Genomic DNA, 14983 nt, shown 5'->3' on the forward strand with positions numbered 1-14983 from the left:
ACTAACACTGGGAACTACATATGTGAGCAAGATATAGTCTCAGTCTTTGAGAAGTTTAGTGTCTTATATGCAGTGCAAACATGTAGACAGAATAAAATTATAGTTGAGTGCTTCCATTTGAAGTTTATTTCATCAGTTTAGTGGGGAGGGGTAGGTGTCTAGGAATGCCTTCCAGAAAAAGTAGTGTCTAAGTGGAGAATTGTAGAATGAGTGGGAGTTGTCCAGGGATGGAACAGGGGTTAGTGGCGGAGATTATATAAAAGAAAGAAGCTTGCAGGTGAAAATGACCCTGGGAAAGTGGGAAACTGAAAAAGTTCAGTACATTTCTGTCATATGGCTGATCAAGCTGTGACTGGGCAAAATGCTGTCAGCATTTGTTGAACACATAAATGCTGTCTCATTCACAAAGGAGACTTGTGACCTAGACTTTATTCATCTTGTGCTAAATTAGTGATTTCCAAACATTTGATCATGAATCTCATAAGTAAAAAATGTTTTGATTATGTATCCTCATATATTGATTATATGCCAATATTTGTTTATAGATGATATGTAGTACTAAAAGTTATATACGCAGTAGAACATGTATAGAAAACAAAAAAAATTAAAAGGATGAGCTAAAGATGGCATGTACAATATTCTCACAGTGTTAATTTTACTGAAAATACGGAAAGTAGGCTGGGTGCAGTGGCTCACGCCTGTAATCCCAGCACTTTGGGAGGCTGAGGGAGGCAGATCACTTGAGGTCAGGAGTTTGAGACAAGCCTGACCAATATAGCGAAATCCCATCTCTACTAAAAAATACAAAAATTAGCTGGGCATGGTGGCACACGCCCGTAATCCCAGCTACTCGGGAGGGTAAGGCAGGAGAATTGCTTGAACCCGGGAGGCGGAGGTTACAATGAGCCGAGATCATGCCACTGTACTCCATCCTGGGCGACAGAGCAAGACTCCATCTAAAAAAAAAAAAAAAAAAAAAAAACCCAGAAAGTAAAGTGGTACATCATTATTTAAAATCTTCGTTTAATATTATGTGATACAGCTGCTCAGAGGGCTGTTTCTAAATTCAGTTTATTTTGATACTTTAATGGCAGTCAAAGCCTGGATCAAAATGGAAGAATTTGGCTGCACTTTCTAAATCATATTCTTTCTTTCTCCAAACTTATTCACTATTTATGGAAATGCTTTATTGAAATGTGGCTGGTAAATATCCATCTATTAGTTTTTCTTGCAGATTAATAAAAATATATTATACTTTTATTGTGTTAATAAATGGGTTCCAAAAATCACTGTTAAGTCTTCATTTGGAAGATATTTTAAAAAGTTTTAGAATATTCTGTTTCTGACTTTATAAAGCATGAAGATACGAGTTTTTGGTGTCTTTATTTTTTAGATTTTGTATATATTGTTTCAACAGCAGAATAACTTAGCAATGGAAATGTTTCCAATTATCCAATTTTGAAATGCTCTATTAGGAAAGATTTTTTTTTCTCTCGCTCTCTTTTTTTTTTTTTTTTTTTTTTTTTTTAAAGATGAAGCCTCTCTCTTGTCCCCAAGGCTGGAGTACAATGGTGCCATCTTGGCTCACTGTAACCTCCGCCTACTGGGTTCAAGCGATTCTCCTGCCTCAGCCTCCCGAGTAGCTGGGATTACAGGTGCCCGCCACCACGCCCGGCTAATTTTTGTATTTTAAGTAGAGATGGGGTTTCACCATGTTGGCCAGGCTAGTCTCAAACTCCTGACCTTAGGTGATCCGCCTGCCTCATTCTCCCAGAGTGCTGGGATTACAGGCGTGAGCCACTGCACCCGGCCGATTTTTTTCTCTTTTTCTTTTTTCTGGAAAAGCTGAAAATAATTCTGACATGTTGCTAAACATTTTTATTTTGTAGGGGCAGAGTGAGTTTTTTTGTTTTTTTAATATCTTCTTGGTAGCATACTACTTATAACCTCCTCAGAAATATTTAGCAAGTTTGGAACTCTAGTCTTTTTATTTTAAAAAAATTGTGTAACTCATCTACATTTAACAAATCTTTTAAATACATTTCTTGTGGTAACTAGTGAATCTGTGTGGATTTAAAAACAAAAAAAAGATTATGAGGCCAAGGCAGGTGGATCACTTGAGGCCAGGAGTTTGAGACCAGCCTGGCCAACATGGTGAAACCCCATCTCTACTAAAAATACAAAAATTAGTCAGAAGTGGTGGTACACAACTGTAGTCCCAGCTACTCTGAGCTGAGAATGCGCCACTGCATTCAATTCTGGGCGACAGAGCAAGACTATCTCTCAAAAAAAAAAAAAAAAAAAAAATTCAGTGGCTACTCTCTATCTCCCAGAGTATAGGAAGATTCTATATTCATACAGTTAACCTCAGTGACATCTGAGGTACCTTGTTCTGACTTAATTGCAGCAATAGTTTACCTGTGAATGAAGCTGTTAAAGGCTTTTGTATCAGATGCTATCACTGTAACTTTGTTCTGGAATTTTTTTTTTTTTTGAGATAGGGTCTCGCTCTGTTGCCCAGACTGGAGTACAGTGACACGATCTCAGCTCACTGCAAGCTCCGCCTCCCGGGCTCACGCCTTTCTCCTGCCTCAGCCTCCCAAGTAGCTGGGACTACAGGTGCCCGCCACAACGCCTGGCTAATTTTTTGTTATTTTTTAGTAGAGACGGGGCTTCACCGTGTTAGCCAGCATGGTCTCGATCTCCTGACCTCATGATCCACCCACCTCGGCCTCCCAAAGTGCTGGGATTACAGGTGTGAGCCACCGCAGCTGGCCAGAATTCTTTTTTAAAATTCCAGTCAAAGCAGTCATTTCATCAGTGGTTACAGTTTTCCCATAAAGCACCTTGTTTCATTTACAGTTAAGAATACCTCCCTTTTAATACATTGTTCCTTGGTATCTTACAAAGTTGTATTTCCTGTATATTTCATAATTACCCAGCAAATACCCTAAGATGAAAGAATCATCTGTATTTTTATCCAATTGTATAGCAAACCCCACACACTGTATTTGTCCTGATATCTTCAAGTCTTTAGGGTTTTCTAAGAGCTTTTGACTATACTTACCAATAAAAGAATACATTTAGTTTGTCACCACTTTTATTTCTGTGTATAATTTCAGCTATGGTCCTTGGCTTTTTTTAGGGAAACCTTAGCAGTTTCGACACTAACTTTCGTACAATTTTGTGAAGTGTCACATTAAATAGCCTGTGACTTTAGACATAGGTGGAAAAATTATAGACGTTTAACTCTTGCAGTGAACACTTAAAAGCCTGGTGGATTATGAGGACTTTGTTCGTGCCATCAGATTATATCTTAAGGTAGAGTAGACATGTAGAGTGAGGTTCATCTTTAATAAAAAATGGGCTGGGTGCAGTGGCTCACACCTGTAATCTCAGCACTTTGGGAGACCGAGGTGGGTGGATCACAAGGTCAGGAGATCGAGACCATCCTGGCTAACACGGTGAAACCCTGTCTCTGATGAAAATACAAAAAAATTAGCCGGGCGTGGTGGTGGGTACCTGTAGTCCCAGCTACTTGGGAGGCTGAGGCAGGAGAATAGCGTGAACCCGGGAGGCGGAGCTTGCAGTAAGCCGATATCGCACCAGGGCAGTCCAGCCTGGGTGACAGAGTGAGACTCTGTCTCAAACAAATTAAAATAAATAAATAAATAAATAAATAAATAAATAAATGGTGTGGCTGGACGCAGTGGCTCACGCCTGTAATCCTAGCACTTTGGGAGGCCGAGGCGGGCGGATTGCCTGAGCTCAGGAGTTCGAGACCAGCCTGGGCAACGTGATGAAACCCCCGACTCTACCAAAAATTCAAAAATTAGCTGGAGCATGCCTGTAACCCAGCTACTTGGGATGCTGAGGCATGAGAATCGCTTGAACCAGGGAGGCAGAGATTGCAGTGAGCTGAGATCCACCATTGCACTCCAGCCTGGGCAACAGAGAGAGACTGTGTCAAAAAACAAAACAACACATAAATAAGAAATTGTGTGAAGTCAATATAAATACCAGTACTAATATTTTATTTTTATACCCCAAAGGATTATCGTATAATACAAACACCCTTCAAGTACACATATCCCACTTTGGAGACTAATGCCCTAAACAACAGGGATAATGATATTGAAACTGGCCTTTTAGTTAAAATAAAAGCAAAGCCAAAAATAATTCACTTTCCTCTATAAATTTATATTTGGGAGACACATTTAAGAATAATCGTCCTGGCCAGGTGCAGTGGTTCATGCCTGTAATCCCAGCACTTTGGGAGGCCAAGGTGGGCGGATCGTGAGGTCAGGAGATCAAGACCATCCTGGCTAACACGGTGAAACCCTGACTCTACTAAAAATACAAAAAATTAGCTGGGTATGGTGGCGGGCACCTGTAGTCCCAGCTACTCAGGAGGCTGAGGCAGGAGAATGACATGAACCCGGGAGGCGGAGCTTGCAGTGAGCCGAGATCACGCCACTGCACTCCAGCCTGGGTGACAGAGTGAGACTCCATCTCAAAAAAAAAAAAAAAAAAAAAATCAGCTTTGGCTTGAGGTTTGAAGAATGAACCCTTCAGTCATAGACTATGACTACCTGTCATAGCTCACTAGGAAACCCTAGGGAATCATGGAAGGGTTATTGGTTAAATATATTATATAAAGGAACATTTTGCTAGTTGCTATTGACCAAAAAGGCTGTTTTTTTTTTTTTAAATATAGTCTGTAATTATTTTTGTTGAAAGATATTTGGAAGATGGTTTTTCTCAATCTATAGGAGATACAGTTCGTAGCCACCTGGGATCTCTTATAAAAAGATACTTTTTCATAGTATACTCTTTATAATATGCATAACATTTCATAATATACTTTTGATAATATACATAAAATTTGATACATAAGTTTACCAAATTTATTGAATTTACTTCAGTGCATTTTTATTAGTCAAGATTCTTTGGAAGATATGGAAAGCTAATTCAAAAAAGCTTGAGCAAAAAAAATTTGTTGGCTCGTAACTAATGTTCAGGACTGGTCTCAAGAACTTGGTTGCCAGATCTGTGTTTCCAGGTTATCTATTAGCTTGTCTGTGTCTCTGTGATAGTTTTACCCTTTTAGAGTGGAAAATCTTCCTCCTTGTGGTGCTCTGGCTTGCAGAAGAATGCCTTTGGTCTAGCGCCAGCATATATAAAATCCTGTGGGTGGGATAGAGTAGATGTGGTTGCATGTGTGCTGACTGGCAGTCTCACTAAACCACATGGAATGGGAAAGGAACAGTTTCCCAAAGGAAGGGTTTGCTCTTAATGCAGAGGAAGGGATGCTGGGAGTCAAAAATAATAGATGTTCATTATAGCAATGAGTGATGAAGAGAGGACAGAAAGGCATAAAATATTCTTTAAGGGAATAGAACATGACTTAATTTGATTTTCCTAATCATTGATTCTTACAGAGCATGCAAGCGGCAAGATGTCCTACAGATGAATTATCTTTAACCAATTGTGCAGTTGTGAATGAAAAGGATTTCCAGTCTGGCCAGTGAGTATCTGACTTTGTTTTCTTTTAACCTGCTAAGTGGCATTCGGGAAACTTCCAGAGAGTCATTTTTAGGAAACGTTGGAAAATATTTTTAAAAAATTCTTGCTGAGTTGGAAAATGGAGAAGATGAGAAAAAGTTATGTATTTGAATCATTACTGTGTCAAACTTTGATAAATACTGTATAATGTTTTAAAAATGTTTTATGTATAAAACTCTAGTTTTCATCAGTTTTCTTAGTAGAGCTAAACATACTGGTTGTATGAATCATATATGGCAGAGTTGTTAGGTGTTTGGTTCTGGCAAACTCAGATTGTTTGAGTTTTCCTGGCTCTACCAATTACAAACTGTGTGACCATTTCTGTACCTCTATGTCCTGATCTGTAAAATGGAGATGATCTCTTCCTCAAGGTAGCTATGAAGATTGAGTTACATAAATAAAGCACTTAGAACAGTTCCCAACATGTTAACAATCCCTTAGTAAATATTAGCTGTTATGATTATTATTACCATGATAATCCAAGAGACATGAACATTGGAAGATGGGCTGGGTATGGAGGCTTACGCCTGTAATCCTAGTACTTTGGGATGCCAAGGCAGGCTGATTGCCTAAGCTCAGGAATTTGGGACCAACCTGGCCAACATGGTGAAACCCCATCTCTACTAAAAATAAAAATTAGCCAGGCATGGTGGTGTGCGCCTGTAGTCCCAGTTTCTCAGGAGACTGAGGCATGAGAATCACTTGAACCCAGGAGGCAGAGACTGTAGTGAGCCGAGATCGCGCCACTGCACTCCATCCTGGGTGACACAGCGAGACTCTGTCTCAAAAAAAAGTAAAGGAAAAAGAAAATTGGAAGCTGCAAAGCAAATGTAGAATCCTTAAAGGCATTTTGCACTGTAATTTATTTTAACTGATCCATATCACCGCACTGCCAGGACTTCTAAAGACCCTGCTGCAAGTTCAGTGCCATCCATATGCTTCTGAGATTGGTACAGATAAGGAGATGAAGGGGCTGTAGGGAAATAAGAGGCAAGGTGGTAGGGTTTTAACTGAGCATTTTTCTTAAAATGTTATCTGTGAAATACCTGAGTTTCACAGAGTTAGAAATGCTAATCATCTTTGGTTTCCAGCTTCAGAGTAAGAGGCTGTACTATATGGTGATATTAACATTGTTTCCAGTGCTAAACATTCTGTGATGCTAAATTGAGCACAGGATTTTCAACAGATAAACTGAAGTATAGATAATCAACGTGAGAATTTGTGGAATTCTTTTACATATGTTAAATGTTCACTGTACTCATGGTGGGGTTACTCAAAATGTAGTTGATATAAGGAACATGTGTTCTAGTGGCAAAAAAAATACGTATAGAAACATTAGCCATTGATGTGAAAAATTACAGCATTCTGAAAAGATAATGTTTAAAAAGATAGTGAGCTAGGCATGTTAGGGCATGCCTGTAGTCCCAACTACTTTAGAGACTGAAGCAGGAGAATCTCTTGAGCCCAGGAGTTTGAGGCCAGCCTGGTCAACATAGCAAGACCACATGTATTAAAAAAAAAAAAAAAAAAAAAAAAAAAGATACTGCTGCTGCATAACAGGATTTGAAGCTTCTATCTTACACATAGTACTTTTTAGTTACCTGGTATAGGAGATTATCATGAGAGGACTGTTTTTTTTTTTTTTACAGGTAATTTCTGAACAGGGAATTAGCACAAAATTTTTTAAAACAGTAAATATTGATATCTACATGAAAGCTGATGTATTTTGGGAATTTTTTAAATCTTTTTTTTTTTTATTTTGTAGGTTGTTTTTGTTTTAGCCTGTTGAGAGAGTCTGCAAATAAATTTAATGAGTAGTCTAAAAACTAACTTTTTTTTGATTGCTATATCCTAGCTCTTTTATCTTTGGCTCTCTTCTCCTTATTAGGATGTGAAGTAATTCTCAGGAGAGGAAATGCATCTAGTTTTTACTTGATATCAAGGACTCTAAATCACTGGCTTCAGTTTTATGTAAACTGGAAATGTAAGGAAGTTGGTATTTTGGATGGTATTTTGGCTGGATTCTACTTGATGAGTGTTTGACCCAAGGTGCTCCTTATATCTGGAAAACATTTGGGATTGCTGATAGTTTGGGAAACTAAATTTGTGGTTCTATTTCTTCAAGACACAGATAGTGTCGTTTCCACCTGATACTCATTAAATATCAGTTTGACAAGAAATACATTTTGAAATTATGTTCTTCATTTCCTTCAATGTGGAGTACTAACTGTGTTTCTGTCCTTTAGGCATGTGATTGTGAGGACCTCTCCCAATCACAGGTACACATTTACACTGAAGACACATCCATCGGTGGTTCCAGGGAGCATTGCATTCAGTTTACCTCAGGTAACTCAGATGTTAATTTGTTCTCTTCTGTTTTTGAAAGTCATAGAATATGAATAATCTGTTCATTTTAAGCAAGCATCACCCTGTGACTGTATTGATTCATATTGAAGAAAAATATCTAAGTATTATATAAGGAATTTAAAGATACAGTCTTCTTTTTTTTTTTTTCTTTTTTTTTTTTAAGACAGGGTCTCGTTCTGAGACCCAGGCTGGAGTGCAGTGGCACGATCATGGCTCCTGGTCTCAAGCAATTCTCATACCTCAGTCTCCCGAGTAGCTGAGACTACAGTCTTGTACCACTGTGCCTGACTAATTTTAAAATTTTTTGTAGAGATGGTGTCTTAACTGTGTTGCCCAAGCTGGTCTTTAACTCTTGGGCTCAAGTAATCCTCCCACCTTGGCCTCTCAAAGTGCTGGGATTATAGGGTGTGAATCATCATGCCCAACCTAAAGACAGATTCTTAATTGCCAGTTTTTGCTATGGCTGCCTTCTTTTGGCTTGATTTTTTTTCCCTAATTTTTAAAGATTTTGCAGTAAAATCAGTCAGCTATCACATAAAGCGTCAAGTTATTTTAATGTTAACTGCCAGGGTAATAGAAAAGTAGAAAACATTTTATTTGTGAAGTTGATATCTAAGAATGGTGATTTTATAATGTGATGGCGTTATACTAAAGAATTTGGAAAGAGTCTCAAATTACAACATAATTTGCTAGGCTCCCATAACAACTGGATGGGTTGTGATTACAGTTACAACTGTTGATGGATTCTGTGGAATCCAGAGAATTAGATTGCTTAGTGCTGTCCCAGGCACATCATACATAATATAAAGCACCAAGAATACTAGTCTGTATCCTCTTCTCCCTTATCATTTTACTCAGGCTGCTGACTGTCCCCAGTCCTAAGTAATGTAAATGGAATTCCTACCTCCTCCTAGTATGCTAATGAGCATTGGTTGACTTCCCTGAAGGTTTAGAGAAAGAGCTCAAACACTCATTTAAGAACTATTAGGCTGGGTGCAATGACTCATGCTGGTAATCCCAGCACTTTGGGAGGCCAAAGCTGGTGGATCACTTGAGTCCAGGAGTTCAAGACCAGTGGGCAACGTGGCGAAACCCCACCTCTACTAAAAATATAAAAATTAGCTGAGTGTGGTGGTGCATGCCTGTAGTCCTAACTTCTTGAGGGGCTGAGGCAGGAGGATCACTTGAGCCCGGGAAGTTGAGGCTGCAGTGAGGCGAGATAGTGCCACTGTACTCTAGCCTAGGTGACAAAGTGAGACCCTGTTTAAAAAAGAAAAAAACAAAAACAAAAACTATTAGATGGGCCAGGTACCTCACGCTTGTAATCCTAGTGCTTTGGGAGGTGGAGGAGGATCGCTTGAGACCAAGAATTCCAGATCAGCATAGCGAGACCCTTGTCCCCCGCACTAGTCTCTACAAAAAAAAAATTTTTTTTAATTAGCTGGGCATGGTGGCACATGCCTGTAGTCCAGGCTACCTGGGAGGCTGAGGTTGGGAGGATCACTTGAGCCTAGGAAGTCGAGGCTGTAGTGAGCTATGATTGTGCCACCATGCTCCAGCCTTTGCTCCAGAGTGAGATTCTGTCTCTTAAAAAAAAGGGAAAAAAAAGGAACTATTGAAGATCTCTTGAAGCCCTCAAAAATTACAGGAAATTTTCACTTACTATTCCACCTGTCTGTTTGATGCCTCTTCATTATCCAGACCACTTTCACGTTTGTTTCTATAGATTAAAAGTTTGGGATATTCCAGGGTTCTCCAGCTTTTACAGAGTTCCATTTGGGATTCTGATTGTTAGCAATAGCTTGAGGTGTGACAGTTTCTCCTTGTCTCTGTTTTGTAAAAAAAAAAAAAAAAATTTCCCCGACATTCACTGTAGGCCAGCCTCTATTCTAGGTACTTTGGCATGTGTTAGCTCATTTAATTCTCCAAACAACCTTATACAATAGCTACTGTTGTTATCCCTAAGGACTGTTGTATTAGTCCATTTTCATACTGCTATGAAGAAATTCTGGAGACTGGATAATTTATAAGGAAAAATGAGATTTCATGGACTCACAGTTCCACATGGCTGCAGAGGCCTCACAATCATGGTGGAAGGCGAAGGAGGAGCAAAGTCATGTCTTACATGGCGGCAGACAAGAGAGCGTGTGCAGGGGAACTGCCCTTTATAAAACCATCAGATCTTCTGAGACTTACTCACTATCATGAAAACAGCATGGGAAAACCCACACCCATGATTCAGTTACCTCCCACTGGGTCTCTCCCATAACACATAGGGATTATGGAAACTACAATTTAAGATGAGATTTGGGTGGGGGCAAAGCCAAACCATATCAGCTGTCTTTGGGATTGAAGTACAGAACCTAAATGTGGCTTCCTTGTGACTTAAAGTCTAAGCTTAACGAGCATGGTGCTAAATTTCAGGTTGGCCAGAAGTGGGATGGGGTTTTACAGAAGAGGTCTTCTGGGGGAGGTGAAGGGCAGAGTGGAGGGAAACAGGATGTGGTAAGAAAGCCACAAGGGAGAGCACTTGTTGCACATATTCACAGTTCAGTGTCTTCTAAATTACCCGCCACAAAGTCTGCAGTGTTTGGATGGGCAGGTGAACTACTGATTTTCAACCAAAAATTGTTTTTCTCATTGTTCTTTGGAGTGTTATCAGTAATTACTAATTTTGAATCTATACCAAGCAAACCCCAGATTCCTGCCTAAACACAATCTGGCCTGCCTTCATACTTCTTGCCATTGTAAACAGTAGGGATTTGGGAAAGCCTGAAATCTAGCTGTAAATGTCTAAAAATCTTCTGGCTAGTATACAAAGAGTAGCCATGACCATCTAATGATTTCAGTCCCTGACTGGGTTTCAAAATAGATTTTCTGACCAGTTTTAATTTAGTCTTCATGAATTGAATGTCTTCCTTTTTGAGATACTGTAACAAACAGTAAAACTAACTGCAGCAGTACATTTAGAACACTGAAGTGTGATCTGATACAGTGAAGACCTTCTGTAGCATCATATTGTGCAAAGGAACATCCTCCTCAGTGGTGCCAGCTTTACTGCAAAAGGCAAGCTTTGCACGTTTTGAAACAGATGTTCAGATGTAAACTGTAGCACATGCTTTACTTTCCTAGGGTAAGTAACAAAGAACCATTACTGGGTAGCTTAAAACAACAGAGATTTATTCTGTCACCGTTGTGGAGGCCGGAAGTCTGAAATCAAGCTGTCAGTAGAGCTATTCCCTCTCTGAAGGCTCTAGGGAAGAACCTGTTCTGTGCTTAGCTTCTGGTGTTGCCGGCAATCCTTTGGTGTTCCTTGGCTGTAGCTGCATCATTTCAATTTCTGCCTCTGCTATCACATGATGGCATTCTGTCTGTGTGTCTATGTCTCTTTCTTAGAAGGACACCAGTCATATCGGCTTAGGGTTCACCCTAATTCATTATGACCTCATGTTAACTTGATACATTTGCAGAGATTGTATTTCTAAATAAAGTCACATCCACAGGTGTTGGGGGCTAAGACTTCAACATACTTTGGAGGGGGAGAGCACAGTTCAACCATAATAGCATACCATGTTTTGATCTTTGAGTGTATTCCTAAAATTCATTAAAATTCCTCTTTTTCTCTTGTCTAATTTTGATGGCTTTGGTTTTAAGTATCTTTTTTTCTCCTTTACAGAGAAAATGGGCTGGGCTTTCTATTGGGCAAGAAATAGAAGGTAGGTATATTTTTTAGCCACCTGATAAAGATTTTCTATGTGATTTTCTCACAGTTATTGAGATCTGTACAATTTTCTATTACTAGTGGTCAGATCTTAAACATTCATTGTATCAGAAGACTGGTTACATCTATGAGAATGGGAAGGAAATAGTTATGGTACCTCTGTTCCTATATCTTTTATGAAGTGTGTGATAAGGTCGTCATAGTTCAAGGCAAGGAAAGCAATTTGTGACTTCCAGTTGGGGGCGTGGCGGGGTGGAAAGACTAAGCTGCTAATAGATAATAAGCCAAAGAACTAATAAGCAAAAAGTGGCATTGTCTCAGGCAATGTGGCAAAGTTAGGAAATGGAGTATGAGTCGTCTTTAGTCAGATGATTTTATGTCAACTTCATGGATACAGTAGGGGAAGGAAAGAAAATGCAAGTGTAATTAAACCAGCTTTTCTTCTGCTTGTCTTTAAAACTTAAAAAAAAATTGTATTTATAGAAAGGTTGCAAAAATAATACGAAGAATTTCTGTATACTGCCTTTACCCAGCTTTACCAATTGTCATATTTTCTTTATCATTCTGGCTCCCTGTCTTCCTCTCTGGGTCTCTGTCTCTCTCTGTACACACACACACACACACACACACACACACACACACACACATCTTTTATCCTACTCCTCATTTAGGAACCTGACAACTTGTAATTTTTTCTAAGTTAGATGGAATTTAAACATTGGGGTTATTTTATTTTATTTTATTTTTGAGATGGAGTCTCGCTCTGTTGCCAGGCTGGAGTGCAGTGGCGCAATCTCGGCTCACTGCAACCTCTGCCTCCAGGGTTCAAGCGATTCTCCTGCCTCAGCCTTGCAAGTAACTGGGACTACAAGCACTTGCCACCACACCCGGCTAATTTTTGTATTTTTAGAAGAGATGGGGTTTCACCATGTTGGCCAGGCTGGTCTCGATCTCTTGACCTCGTGATCCACCTGCCTTGACCTCCCAGAGTGGTGGGATTACAGATGTGAGCCACCACGCCCAGCCAACATTGGTGTTATTTTTAGTTAGCTTTTTCTTTGTGGAAGTATGAACACTTGTTAAATTTAATGAGAAAGTGGGGTAGTATGTAGCTTAGGTTTCTAATTTTCATAAATTAATTTTTCTAAATATGAGGCTAAGAGTACTTAAAACTTTGAATCTAGATATTTTCTATTGTGACAAGATACAGAAATTCAAGATTATAAATTTTGATGAGTTGAGAAATGTGTTTTGCGGTTTAAGTTATAAAAGCATTCTTCTGCTAACAGAAATGCTTATCTGGATTGTAAAGTCAGATCTTTAAAGAAGTGGCTCAAACAGACTTAATAAGCAAAATTGTAAAACCCAGTGATAGGTGGGACTAAAGTGGAGTAAGCTTGAGGGAAGGTAGGGTTTTGGGGCCCAAGTGATGTGGATGATGTAGCCATAAAGATAGAAAACTGGTTTGGTTTAAGTAGTGATGTAGACCAAGATAGGATAGGAGGTGTGGTTTGAAGGAGTGCTCAAGTATTCTGGAATGGGAGTTCCGTAAGGTGAAACATTTTAGTCAAATCAGTGATTTTAGTCTGAGGGAATCTTCTGGAGGAATCATTTAGTCGGTCTTCTTTCCATCTGGCAATGCCATATTTTAAGTGTTACAGGCTAATGTTTTGACCACTATATATACACCTATTATTGTAAAGTCCAAGTTTATTCAAAGAACTGGATACACTTATTTTTTGCTTATAAAATCTTTCTTATTAGTCTTTTATATTAAATTACTATTAGCCGTAAAATAAGAAAACATTCTCAATCTTCTTTGATCCAGGATGAAATCTTCAGGACTCTTGTCCCTTTGGGACTGACCATGGTGCTGACTGTGGTGCTGCCTGGGATACTGTCCATGGTGCTGCCCATAGCACTTGAAATTGTAACAGTTTGGTCTTTTCTATTTAGGAACATTGGCCTTAAATTAAAATGCATTTGAAAACTACAGTCAGTGCATTACTACAGTCAGTAGTAATTATATTTTTATTTATTTATTTTTGAGATGGAATCTCGCTCTGTCGCTGAGGCTGGGGTGCAGTGGCATGATCTCAGCTCCCTGCAACCTCCTCCTCCCCAGTTCAAGCAATTCTGCTGCCTCAGCCTACTGAGTAGCTGGGATTAGAGGCATGTGCCACCACACCTGGCTAATTTTTGTATTTTTAGTAGAGAAGGGGTTTTGCCATGTTGGCCAGGCTGGTATCGAACTCCTGACCTCAAATGATCCACCTACCTCAGCCTTCCAAAATGCTGGGATTACAGGCATGAGCCACCACGCCTGGCCAATATTTTAAATATACTTATTCAAATTTCTCAGTATGAAGATGACATGAATATATGTATATACACACATATATATGCATTATGACATTATGATATTGTTTTGGTGTCTTTAATGCACAAAATGGTATTATACTGTACAAACCTTTCTGCAGTAGACTTTTGTCACTCAATATTATGTTTTCAAGGGCCATCCACCTTTTTTTGAGATGGAGTTTTGCTCTTGTTGCCCAGGCTGGAGTACAGTGGTGTGATCTTGGCTCACTACAACCTCTCCTCCCAGGTTCAAGCAATTCTCCTGCCTCAGCCATCTGAGTAGCTGGGATTACAAGCACTCACCCCCACGCTGGCTAATATTTTCTATTTTTATTAGAGATGGGGTTTCACCATGTTGACCAGGCTGGTCTTGAACTCCTGACCTCTGGTGATCCACCCACCTCAGCCTCCCAAAGTACTGGGATTACAGGTGTGAGCCACCACGCCTGGCCAGGCCGTCCATCTTTAATAAATATACATAAAGTTGGTTTTTGTTTTTTTGTTTTTTTTTTGTTTTTTTGACAGGGTCTCACTTGGCTGGAGTGCAGTGGTGCAGTCGTGGCTCACTGCAGCCTCAGTACCTGGCTAATTTTTTAATTTTGTGTAGAGATAGGGTTTCACTGTGTTGCCCAGTCTGGTCTCTAAATCTTGGACTTAAGTGATCTTCCCTCCTTAGCCTCCCAAAGTGCTGGGATTGCAGGTGTGAGCCACCGTGCCTGGCCAAGTTTTAATTTCAATAAAAATTGCTGTAAAGTATTCTACATTATGAATATACTACATTTTATTCATTGTTCTCCTACTGATAAACATTTTTCAATGTTTAAGTACTATAAATAATGCTGCAATGAACCTCCCTGTAGATGTGTTGTTAGACAAATGTTCTAGCATCTTTCTGGGACAGACATCTAGAAATGGAATTGCTGAATCATCATATTCATTTTTACATTAATATTTCAACCTATAAATGTT

At 39.3% G+C, this 14983-nt stretch overlaps 1 protein-coding gene and 1 pseudogene across 3 annotated transcripts in view; both read left to right on the top strand.

Annotated features, from left to right (window-relative positions):
• LRRC37A2 (leucine rich repeat containing 37 member A2) overlaps nucleotides 1-14983 on the top strand; it is a 676337-nt gene that overhangs the window by 28431 nt on the left and 632923 nt on the right. For both annotated transcript variants that reach the window (XR_007065300.1, XM_047436147.1), the window contains exons 2-4: nucleotides 5442-5527; nucleotides 7812-7911; nucleotides 11609-11648. Coding sequence is in view for 1 of the 2 variants with exons in the window: in XM_047436147.1 (XP_047292103.1) it covers nucleotides 5442-5527; nucleotides 7812-7911; nucleotides 11609-11648 (226 nt within the window). In the remaining variant the exon portion in view is untranslated. The remainder of the gene's footprint in view (nucleotides 1-5441; nucleotides 5528-7811; nucleotides 7912-11608; nucleotides 11649-14983) is intronic.
• The window catches only part of NSFP1 (N-ethylmaleimide-sensitive factor pseudogene 1), a 50285-nt pseudogene that overhangs the window by 28410 nt on the left and 6892 nt on the right, over nucleotides 1-14983 (top strand). The window contains exons 2-4 of the transcript NR_033799.1: nucleotides 5442-5527; nucleotides 7812-7911; nucleotides 11609-11648. The product of NR_033799.1 is annotated as an N-ethylmaleimide-sensitive factor pseudogene 1 (transcript). The remainder of the gene's footprint in view (nucleotides 1-5441; nucleotides 5528-7811; nucleotides 7912-11608; nucleotides 11649-14983) is intronic.

Source organism: Homo sapiens, chromosome 17, assembly GCF_000001405.40.
Source record: "Homo sapiens chromosome 17, GRCh38.p14 Primary Assembly".
NCBI classification, from domain to species: domain Eukaryota; kingdom Metazoa; phylum Chordata; class Mammalia; order Primates; family Hominidae; genus Homo; species Homo sapiens.